Here is a 12,203-nt window from a genome sequence, read left to right as displayed (position 1 = left end):
TTGACAACCATTTTTTTTCCTTCAAAGGATATCGAGAATCAAAATTATGTGAAGGAAATTTTGATAATAACACAACAAAGTGCATGTGCCATTGTTTTCTGAGTAAAAAATTAAAATTACATTATTCTACAGTTCAAATTTAATCAGTTCACCGTTATTACAAAAATTGATCTGATAGCCACATACCATTGAAATGCAAATTTTGATGATGCTCTTTTTCTGATTAATAATTGCAGAAATGTCATTTTAAATCTACATCCCCAAGAGCTTCACAGAATGCCTCTTTCTAGTTAATCTTTTTGAGTAGAAGAAACAGGGAGCTCTGAGCAAACCAGCCATGCTGTCTCTTTCATGCACACGGTAGGGGCAAGGGCACTGTGGTATTGCTGTGTTGCTGTTAACTCACAGAGGTGCTGCCTTTCTTCTTTACCACTGCTTGCCTCCCATGGATTCCTCTGCTTCCCTCTGGGCCTCCTCACTAGCCTTCAGGCAACGTTTGGGTGACTCATGAAGAAATGGAAAATCTTGCAGCTCCAGCAAAAACGGTTAGTCTTAATGGCTTTGTTGAACCTGAAGGAAAGTGACTTTGCTGCTCTTTGGATGAGGAAACTAATCTGTTTACAATAGACCAGAGTAATAGGGTGTGTTTTTATAGTTACATGCAATGATAACTAACATTTTTTACAGTTTTCTTTTACTGCACTCTCTTGAAATTTTTTAATGAAATAGTGTTAGATTGTGGCTAATATCATAAGAGCTTATAGTACACAAACAATAAGGAAGAAAGTAATAAATAGTATTCATGTTGCAACATTGGAAGTTTTTGTAACAAATATTTAGTATTGGACATATTCACAGGTAACATGTTTCTAAACCAAATTAAATTGGTAATAGAAAAGATTAGATTGAATATTCATTTTTAATATGATCATGTGGTTTCTTGTGCTTTACCATCTTAGATACAAGCTTGACCAAAAAAACCCCCAAAAAACCAAAAAAGTGTTATGTTAATTTGGTACTGAAAAGCACAATTTTAAAGAATTTCTTGGGGACTCTTTGTCACTTTTAAAAATAAAATGCTATAAAAATCATTTTTTCATGTAAAGTAACAAAGTTGGGCATATCATATATTTTATCTTTATCAACTTCTTTTTAATTTAATGTCTTTTCAGTGTTATCCTTATTTGAAAATTGATTATCTACAAGTTTGTTAAGGATAAAAACACCAATGTCATGTACTAATTTCATTTTTAGTTTAGTTTTGTTGTACTTGGTTTTTGTCTTGTTTTGTTTTGTTGGCTGTTGTTGAAATCGATTTGATTATCACAAAGCTTTGTTGGAGGGATACAGTTTTTTCACTTCACTAATTTACTTTGTATAAGATTTCTCTATCATATATACATATATATATTTGTCATCAGAAGTTTTTATTATAGCACATTACATTTTAAAAATTACACTCATTTAAGAATTAAAAAAAGGTTTGTAATGACCAAATCAAATGTTCACAAAATTATGAATTTAACATTTAAATTAGAATTAATTGAAAATGATGTAGTTGCTGCCTAATTGCCTTTGAACTGCAAAATTGATCACTGTGGGTCTATGAATCTGTGTGTTTATTCTACCTGTTATACAAAATATTTTGTATAACAATTTTGCTTCTGCTAGAAAAATTTTACTGTATTGATTTGAAATTAATTTATATTTACCTGCTTTATTAATCATTTCCTGCTGCTAACACAGAAAGAATCTGAGGAAGGAAGCTGGGCCCAGGTAGGAGATTCATATGCTTTAAGACCCTTAATATCATTTAGTAGGCAATGAGAATATAAATCAAGAAACTGTCATAAGTCATAATATTGTAAACCTTCACTTAGCTCAATATTAGGCTGATGTGTATAGGTAAATGTAGATTATGTTTAATACTTTATATGTCTTTTTAAGTTACCATATTTTTAAAATAAGATGATTGACGTTTCATACCTTACCTCTTTTAAAAGGGTACTTTTCTTTCTTTCTCAAAAGAATGATCCAAAACTTAAATTCCTCTGAAATCACTCCTGTATATATTTAATCAGGAAGCATTCAAGTTGGATCTAAAGGGGGAACAAAAAGAAAGAAAAGACTTATTTGGAGTTGCACATGCCTTCAGATATAATGCAAAGTGTATGAAGAGAGGTTGGAGGAGCAAGTGTTGGCGTTGCAGACCACAGAGTCACTAGCATTTATTGAGATGTTTGTATGAGACAGGTGTCTATACTTGGAACAGACATATACTTTTGCAAGGAAGCTGTGCATTTTTTCTACATTTCCACATTTTGGATGACCAAAAGAGAAAATTTGTGTTATATTCAATCTGATTGAAACCTTTCAATATAAGAAAAAATTTGGTAGTTACATTAGGACCTGTATTTAAACACACAGTAGGATTGTATTTGATTTTGATTTTGATAAAAATTTCATTGTTCTTGAGAACACACAAAAGAAGAGGAACAGTTAGATTTTCCCTAGAAATGCATATTAGAATTGAGAAATTAGGGCATGATAAGGAACTAAATGGGAATTCTGTAAAAATAATAGAGAGTAATAGTTCTTTTAAAATATTGGTTTAGTGGTAATGGTTGATTTGGGTTTTCATTTTAGCTGTTTTGAACAGTATTGGTAAGAATAGTTTGTTTGTTATATTAAAGAATTAGGTTATCTGTCTTAGTTTTTGATCCTGTCCTGCTTCTTTTAGAGTCTATCTTGATTAATTTCTAGAAAAGACTGATTCTTTCCAATGATTTTTTGGAAAGCTGACGACCTGCTTTGCTAAGTAACAACAATGTCCATAAAAAGCTTCAAAATTCTGTCTCTCCAAAACATTTATTCCTTTCTCTGTTTACTGAGGTTCCCATTTCACATCAACATTTGCCATTACAATATAGCAATGGTAGTAGTGGCATTGATAAGTGGGAAATGGCAATAAGTGCATTGACAAGAGGGAAATGACAGATACAAATAAAACAAACCTATCAATTTAAAGACAGAATCTTAAAGCTCAGAGTTTGTATAATAATTTCTTTATTAATAAAATACATACTTGGACAAAATGTAATTCCTTTTGAGAATACAAAGTAAATAGCCAATCATTTTCAATAGGCAGATGCTTTAATAAATGTATGCAGAGTTCCATTTTATACCAAATCGAATCAAATGCTATCTGAATATTATTTTTGCTTTGTTTCCACATATCATAGTAATTAAATATCAGTTATAATAATAGGTAATATTATCCAATTACCATCTTATCTGATTGGTTAAGAAACTTGACTGCTATAAAACAATTCTAGTGTCCGGTTTTTCTACAGACCCTGGCTTATGGAGATATGAATCATGAGTGGATTGGAAATGAATGGCTTCCCAGCTTGGGGTTACCTCAGTACAGAAGTTACTTTATGGAATGCTTGGTAGATGCAAGAATGTTAGATCACCTAACAAAAAAAGATCTCCGTGTCCATTTAAAAATGGTGGATAGTTTCCATCGGTAGGTGTTTTTTCTTTTTTTTCCCCAAAGAATAATTAAAATGAAACAATATATTACCTATACTTTAGTAAAACAAAAATGGACGTCTAGAAGACAGAAAATATATGTCATTTGAAACATCGTTTGTATACATCTACTTGGAAAAATGTTTTCATCCAGCAAATTGCAGGGACTTTCTAATTTAGAGCTATGTGCATATTATGTGCCCAAAGTTTATGGAAATATATGTGTACAAAATTCTCCTCATAGAGCATACATCTATTTTTTTGTGAGATTCTTTGAAAATTCCATGTTGGTAATTTTATAGTTATATGTGTTTATATTAGAAAATTAGGAAGAATAAACAAATTCATAGTTTCAACTCTACACAAATATGTGGTTATAAATTTTATAATTTAGGAACATTCTAGGGAAAATTTTGAGAAGAAATTGTTCTTCTAAGACATATTTGTGTTTTTTTATTTTTCTATGTCTTTTTATGAGTTTGCTTATTTGTATATTAATTTCAGAACAAAAACAATACTGTGTTAGATAACTGTGAGGATGCAGTTGAACAAAAGGCAATGTCTTTTTTTCAAGTTGTTTACCATCCAGCAGATAAAAAGGGGTCTGTTATAATACCATATCATAAATGCTATGTTTATGTTAGGTGAAGCAATGTCAGCTGGATTTTGGTTGTTTTTTTCACATAAAGTTGATTGTGGTGATAAGTTAATAAATATAACCATAGATGATTTTGGCTTGGGAGACTGTATTTGCTTCTCTCCTGTCCAACATTTAATCAGTGGCTGGAGTGAAGATGGTATAAAAATTAGATATGTTGATGACATAAAATTAGGATAAATAGAGGATAATTGGGGCTTTTGCTTCCAACTTATGGTGATATTTTGAATTTTAATGCAGTTGTTGACACTGTTGAATTAAATGTGGTAAAGATAAATATAACAGTGTTTTTTAAAAAACCCATTAAAGTGCTGGATGGAGAATCCATAATTTAACAGAAAGTTGTGTGAAAAAGATAAGGAATTTATCCTTAGCACGAAACTCTCCATTTTGGTTAATGGCTTGACAAGGCATGTTTAGACTGTGTTTATTGGCTGAGACAACAAAAGTGCTACCATACAGTGACATAACAAAAAGAAATTGCATTTATTTGTGGGTATCAAATTGTTATAAGGTGGTAGAAGTCCAGTGGTAAAGTTGAAGTAATTAAATACATTTAAATTGGATGAAGGAAGACTTTAAATAAGTAAGTTTTCTTAGGTTTTAAGATCATTATTATGTGATAGAAGAATTATTTTTTCTCTGTTGAGCACCTCATTTTTTAGTTAACACAGATGTAGATCCTAGGTGAGTGACTTCTAGTTAATAGAAGAAACAACTTTGTACCACTCTCAGCTGCCTTGTAGTGTATACATTGTGAGGTAGTGAGTGAGCTCCCTGTCACGGGAAGTTTAGGGCTTCATATTTCACGTTTGCATTAGATTTTTGGGGTCCGGTTTTTCCGTTCTTCACTAGATTGACTTTTAATACTGTTTTATTACTTTAGTAAAATGTTTTCTATAATGATCAAATTAAAAAAAATACTCAAATGACTTGGTTTTTGTTTGTTCTGGGAAATGCCCAAGCTTCATTTTTAAGTTATGCTAATCTCCAACTTAAAGCAAGTAGTACCTGACTGTATATTGCATCCTATGGTCTTTTCGGCACAGTTTTCCATCTGACAGACATTTTCATAATATTATATGTCCTCTGTATAGTATAATTTTGTATTCTATATCAAAACTTGGCAGAAACTGACCAAGAAGCATTGGTTTAATCTCAAGCTGCCCAATATCTGTGATAGTGATTATATCAGTATTATCTAGTATATCACTGAATTAGTTTGCTAGGGATGCCACAGCAAAAGACCACAGATGGGTGTCATAAACAACAGAATTCATTTTCTCACAGTTCCGGAGGCTAGAAGTTCAAGATCAAGGAATCAGCAGGTCTGGTTTCTTCTGAGGCCTCTCTCCTGGGCTTGCTGATGGTCACCTCTTGGTGTCCTCAAATAATCCTTTCTCTGTGAATATATATACCTGTTGTCACCAAGTGTCCAAATCTCTTTTTAATAAGGTCACCAGTCAGTTTGGATTAGGGCCCACCTTAATGGCCTCATTTAACTCAATTACCTCTTTAAGGGCACTATCTCCAAATGCAATCACATTCTGAAGTACTGAGAATTAGCGCTTCCACACGTAAATTTTAGGGAACACAATTCAACCCACAACACCTGCCTAATGCAATTTTCTTTCCATTTTTCTCTGATTCTGAAATATTTGACTCAACATTGTTTTTATTAAAATGCGGGGCTTAGAAATGCATCTAGCAAGTAAGTGTAATCTGGCCAATGTGTATGTCTAAATTTGCTTATATTCCTAAACATGTAAAGTATCACTGATAATCAATGATCTTTACTCTTGAAGTCTACAGATTATTTTTTCCTATCACATCTTCTGCATCTTTATACATAATGTCACTAAACCTTCTCATTTTCTCTCTCAGAACATGCCTGGTTTATCGATTTTCCTTTCAAGCTCATGGCTGTTGTCCCTATTTTGGCAGAACTGAACCCTGAATTGATTTCTCTATCTTCTCTGATTACTTATTTCTCCATCTCCTATTTTGCTATGAGATTACTTTTCCTTAAACAGAAAACTTTTTTTTTTTTTTTGGAGATGGAGTCTCACTCTGTTGCCCAGGGTGGAGTGCGGTGGCACGATCTGGGCTACTTCAACCTCCGCCTCCCGGGCTCAAGCGATTCTTCTGCCTCAGCCTCCCGAGTAGCTGGGACTACAGGCATGTGCCACCACAGCCAGCTAATTTTTGTACTTTTAGTAGAGACGGGGTTTCACCATATTGACCAAGCTGGTCTCGAACTCCTGACCACGTGATCCACCCACCTCAGCCTCCCAAAGTGCTGTGATTACAGGCGTGAGCCACCATGCCTGGCCAAACAGAAAACTTTATTGTCACCTCTTCCTCCTCCGAAAATTGTCCAATAATTCTGTATCAATTATATGTATTTCATACTTAAACACAATTTAAGGCTTTCCTTAATATGCCCTTTTCTCCATGTATAATTGTATTCCTCCTTACTTCCTAGCATGGGTTTTCAGCCCTGGAATGTGTGTCTCGCTAACCACACCTTTAAATTTCCATCTGCAATCTTTTGTTCATGATGCTCCATTTTCCTGAGTCAACCTGTCTCTGCTACTTGATACTTTAAGGATCAATCAATTTTCTGCTCATTCCACATATCCTTTTCATTCAGTTTCAATATCTGCTGACTGGTTCTTCTTACATACTTCTGTATCATTTAGAGTTATGAGCTACTCATTTTAGTATTTGGTCTTCTATTACCTCACTTACTTATGTTTTGTGTTATTTTTCTCATCAGCTTAAGAAGAGAGTATCCATTTCTTATAAATTCCTTACTGTCTCCATAATGGGGACTTTAAATTCTTTTCAAGTGAATAAAATATTAATTTGCCTGCACCTAATGTAGGAATAGCTAAATGAAAGACAAAGACACATAGATGAACAATATAATCCATGATGATTTTAAAACTGTTTTTTCTTATTTTGAAAACTTTTTTTCTATTACTTCGAAACATTTTGTGCTTAGAATAATTATAAATGTATTTCCCTCCAATACTGAAGGATTTGGCTGCAAATGTAATTTATTAACTTGTTGCCCTAAGAAGCAGTGCATAGTGTTGACTATGGCTAATCACAAAACTTTCTCCACCTGCTAAGGTAGACTCACTGTGTTTTTTTTTTTTTAATAAAAAAAAAAGAACAAGTTTACAATATGGAATTATGTGCTTAAAGAGGTTGAATTATGACAGAAAAGAACTAGAAAGAAGACGGGAAGCAAGCCAACATGAAATAAAAGGTAATATATCTTTCTTTCATATGAAATGCCTTTATTCTGGGGTTTTTAGCTTTCACTTTTACTAACCTAAAATGTTATATGTGTTACAATGGTCAGTAAGTAGCATAAGTATTTGGCTAGAATTGTTACTGTTTTTTTTCCATTCTTTTCTAATTAAAATACAGAAACAGGTATCTCCATATTATAGGGTGAATATCCCATTTGGGGAGTAATCTTGAGTTTTTGAATTGAGACTTATTTATGTGAACCTATTAATTATACATTCTGCTTATACTAAAGATGTCTCCATGTAGATATTTTTGTCAGACTTTTAATGGAACATTCTCAGTATGATTCAGAGAAACATGGTATATCATTTTTATGGCAGTTCATCTTTGGTTTATATCATTTTAATTTTATTCCAGTGCCCCAGCAATTTTATTTTTGTAACACTGTATAGTTAAAGAAATTATATGGTGATTTTATGCAGGAATGATATAAGGATTTTCCCCTATAAACCAAACTAGTTCATTAATAATTTTAGCTGGTAATATTATCAGGAACAGTGTAAATTGCTGCAGCTGTTATGTGCAGAAAAATGTTTTATTTGAATAACAAGAAAAGACACTCCATATTGCAGGTTTGTTAGAAAAAATACTATATTTAAAAATAAATCATCTAAATGTTGAGAAGTACCTTAATATACCCGACAAAGGATAATTTCAAAAGAGAAGTACCTTAATATGCCCAAGAAAGAATAATTTCAAAAGAGAAGTACCTTAATATACCCGAGAAAGAATAATTTCAAAGAGGAATATGTTAGATTCTATTCTTAGAGACCGTTCTATTTTTATTATTGTTGTTGTTGAAGGAAAAAAATACATGATTGGAAAAAGATATAGGTAAAGGTATTTTTTTGTTTTAAATTTAAAGGGTTCAAGTGCGGTTTTCTTACATGGATATATTTGTGGTGGTGAAGTCTGGGTTTTAGTGTACCCATCCCCTGAATGATGTACATTGTACCCATTAAGTAATTTCTCATCTTTCGCCACCCTCCCAGCCTCCCACCCTTCTGAGACTCCAATGACTATCACTGCATACTCTGTGTTCACCTGGACACATTATTTATTGCCCACTTGTAAGTGAAAGCATGAGGTATTTGACTTTGTTTCTGAATTGTTTCACTTAAGATAATACGTGGGCTTTTTTTTGCTAAAAATAATCAATCCACTTTTGTTGTTTAAAGAAGAAAAAGGCCAGGTGCTGTGGCTCACGCCTGTAATCGCAGCACTTTGGGAGGCCGAGGCGGGCGGATCACGAGGTCAGGAGATCAAGACCATCCTGGCTAACATGGTGAAACCCTGTTTCTACTAAAAATACAAAAAATTAGCCGGGCGTGGTGGCAGGCGCCTGTAGTCCCAGCTACTCGGGAGGCTGAGGCAGGAGAATGGCGTGAACCCTGGAGGCAGAGCTTGCAGTGAGCCGAGATTGCCCCACTGCACTGCACTCCAGCCTGGGTGACAGAGCAAGACTCCGTCTCAAGAAAAAAAAAAAAAAAGAAGAAAATATTAAGGAAAATATAACCAAAGCTTTTAAGGAAAATTTTGGATATTAAAATACTTATTAGTTGTATTTACATTTCCTATTATCCAAGAGTTGATATGTGCAAGCATTACATCAAATGTAATGGGTGTTTCTACATTACATTAATGGTTCAAGGGTAGGCATGAATCTCTGTTTTCATCTTCACTTCTTTTAAGGCTTAATTTAGATAAGAAAGTAGTATATATTACATTCTCCAATATTAACGTTTAGTGCTGTTTTATTCTTAAGATTTTTTTTAGGTTTCTATAATTTACATTTTTGATAAACAATGTCAGAAATTACTTTTATCTTTGTCAGGTCTTGGAAAGTACATTAGTTCTAATGGAACGGGCTTGAATGCATGTGAAAGTGATTGGTTAAAAATAGTTTTCTACGTACGTCTCATCGGAGAGTAGACAGACTCACAATGGATTTCTTGTAACACTTCATTTGATGCATTACTTCGAAGCACGAAAGTGCTTTTCCATTATCAAAATTGAGTTGTTTGACTTCACTTTATTTGGGGGCCCCAGGAAACTGCAGGTTGTTTTCAGTGCATTGCTGTTCAGTTGAATTGAAATTTGGGAATTAATGGACCAAAGATGGACCCCAGAAGGAAGTTTGCATGTGACCACACAATGAATGTCTTAGCACACAGGTAGATTTTACCCATGGGATACCACTTTGTAGTTTCCTTTCTGAAGTATTTTTATCCAATTAGATTTTATTATGCCTCAGCTCACCACGTGAAATGTTTCACATATAGATAGATCTAAAGGAGAGGAATTACCCAGTTGGCCCTATACCAAATGTTATATTAGTATCTGGCAATTGCTGATTAGAGTGTAGCTCTGAGGAAAAAAAAACTGCCATGATTCATTATGATCACACACAACTCTATCTGATAAATAGCTGTGAATGAGATCATAAATAGCTTGTTTCCTATGACTGATCTGGTGACATTTACAGGAATAATTCTCAACAGTGACTAGGGGTCTCTTATTATCTGAAGTGTGAATTAACCCTGACCTTAATGAATAGTTTTCTGAAGTGAAGAGACCATGTGAATATCAAGAACCTACTAACATTTAATTTGTTGCTAAGAAGCAGTCAACACTGATTTCTAGCCATTTATTGTTTAGGTCAAGAAGATTTCTACACAGTTTTAAAGTCAGTGCATACATTGCTTGGAAACAGATTTATGGAAAGAGATCTAACTTTAAAAATGAAAAAAAAAAGAAGTATTTTGTTCTGAGGAGGAAACGTTTGAATTAATGCTTTATTTGTCTTTACCTCATAAACAGATCAGTTTAAATATTTGATCACTCTTAACTACAGGTGTGACGATGGAATTTTTGATGGGCACATATTTGCAGAAATATCACGACCACATAATATGTCTTAGACTATCAAAATATAAACCTAAGTCTAGAAAAAAACCAAATACTCCCTATTTACAAATCCAACTAGTGCAAAGAAAACTGGATTTATTTTTTATTATTGAGAGCATTGTCACGTTCATTTTTAAAAAACGGTGTGTTTAATAAAATTAAGTGGAGAACTGTTGCTGCCACCCACAAGCACTTGCCTAGCTTTTGGGATTCAAGTGTAGGGTAACCAGTTGTTAGAATGAATCAGTAACTATCAGCAGCAGCTGATTATATAGCCAAAATGTGATGCTAACCAACTCACATCCCATTTTCTGAGGTCTGAAAACCTCAATGGAATAGGCTAAGGAAAACTCGGAGGAAAAGCTACACTTCAGAACTGACTCAGAGAGACAATTAACATGTATAATATAAAATTTCCTTATATAGTAAAGAATATTAAGGAAATCCTTTGCTTTGCTGCAGACCGGTTTGGGGGGGGGCGGGGAGAAAGAGGCAAAACTCTGAGGGGAGGACAATAAATGTCCTTCTTCGGGCAGAAATTCATTCTGCTTTGAATGGAGCAGCTAATAATAATAAGACTGTGGGATGTGGGCATTCCTCTCATATTCCTTATTATCTAAATCCAAAGAAAGATCTAGGACCTTTCTTTTGAAATGAGATCATTCTATCCACAAAAGGAGTTAAGTAGAGAGATGTGAGGCTGATACATGTTCAGCTTCCAGATTCATATACAAATGTTTTGCTAGTACTGTGGATTGGCACAGACAGAAAGGACACCAACTAATTTGAAGAACTTCTACTTCTGATAGATTGGAGCATATTAAGTCAGACCAATCTTCCACTAAGAAGAAATAGAAAGGATAGATAAATCAATAAATGGTAATAAAGAGCTATTTGAAAACAGTAGAAACCAATTAAGAGGGACAAGACTTGAGAGGTTATGATCTTGGAAAAAAGAAAAATGTAAGGAAATAGTAAAACTGTCATTCTCTTCTGTTTTTCCTCTATCTAACAGAGAAGCAGGGAACGGAGTGGGGTGGTGGTGGGGATTGGAATTTAGAGGTGCCAAAACTGCCGGGCCTTCAGGAGCAAAGAATGTGTAAAACATAGTAATAATAAAATAAGTAAGACTGACCATTTATACAATACTCCTCTAGAGACATTTGTGGACTTCCAAGAAGGATGGAATTATAATCTAAAAATTGAACAGAAAGCTGAAGCCAAAGGGTAATAAATCTAGAAAGAGAACTGTTGTAATCTCATGATAATACAGTAAAAAAAATCAAAGGTCATAACCACCAAATATGCTTTAATTTGAGGTCTCTGATAAAACACACCGTAGGACTAGGGTAAACTTAAACAGATCAGGCTATTTATTATGTCTATTAATGTTAAAAATAAATTTTATTATGTATATTTGAGGTTTAGAACATATTACAGAACACATATAGGTAGTAAAATGGTTACTATAGTGAAGGAGATTCCTAAGCTTTATTTTGAAATGTTAAAATTGAAATCTAGCATTGATTTATCTCAATCTTTAATTGGAATTAAGTTGATCTGCCCTTATTATAACTTCAGAAAAACATAAAAGTCCTTTTAAGAAGAAGTTGACATTCAGAGCCTCTGCAATTTTTCAATCATATTATGTGAGAGCCAATAAAAGAAAAATTCAGACATGTCAGATAATGGCCAAAATGAGGAAAACCACGATGATAAAATCAGAAAAAAGAAACATATCCATAGTTGACCCTGACAGTGTTTATTAAAAAATATGTAA

At 33.5% G+C, this 12,203-nt stretch overlaps 1 protein-coding gene and 1 long non-coding RNA gene across 51 annotated transcripts in view; one reads left to right on the top strand and one right to left on the bottom strand.

Moving 5' to 3' along the window:
• PPFIA2-AS1 (PPFIA2 antisense RNA 1) overlaps nt 1–5,597 on the bottom strand; it is a 33,234-nt gene extending 27,637 nt beyond the window's left edge. Inside the window, exons 1-2 of the long non-coding RNA NR_120491.1 lie at nt 5,481–5,597; nt 1,992–2,099 (exon numbers count right to left, since the gene is read on the bottom strand). This is a non-coding gene — a long non-coding RNA (PPFIA2 antisense RNA 1). The remainder of the gene's footprint in view (nt 1–1,991; nt 2,100–5,480) is intronic.
• PPFIA2 (PPFI scaffold protein A2) overlaps nt 1–12,203 on the top strand; it is a 501,376-nt gene that overhangs the window by 474,565 nt on the left and 14,608 nt on the right. For 20 of the 50 annotated variants that reach the window (XM_017020086.2, NM_003625.5, XM_047429775.1 and 17 more), the window contains 4 exons: nt 483–545; nt 1,747–1,776; nt 3,336–3,529; nt 7,372–7,469. In XM_017020086.2, coding sequence (XP_016875575.1) covers nt 483–545; nt 1,747–1,776; nt 3,336–3,529; nt 7,372–7,469 — 385 coding nt within the window. The remainder of the gene's footprint in view (nt 1–482; nt 546–1,746; nt 1,777–3,335; nt 3,530–7,371; nt 7,470–12,203) is intronic. The other 30 variants (XM_017020090.3, XM_047429778.1, NM_001220476.2 and 27 more) reach the window with 6 other exon arrangements.

The sequence above is a fragment of the Homo sapiens genome, chromosome 12, assembly GCF_000001405.40.
Source record: "Homo sapiens chromosome 12, GRCh38.p14 Primary Assembly".
NCBI classification, from domain to species: Eukaryota; Metazoa; Chordata; class Mammalia; order Primates; family Hominidae; genus Homo; species Homo sapiens.
This window is presented reverse-complemented; position numbering and strand designations above follow the sequence as displayed.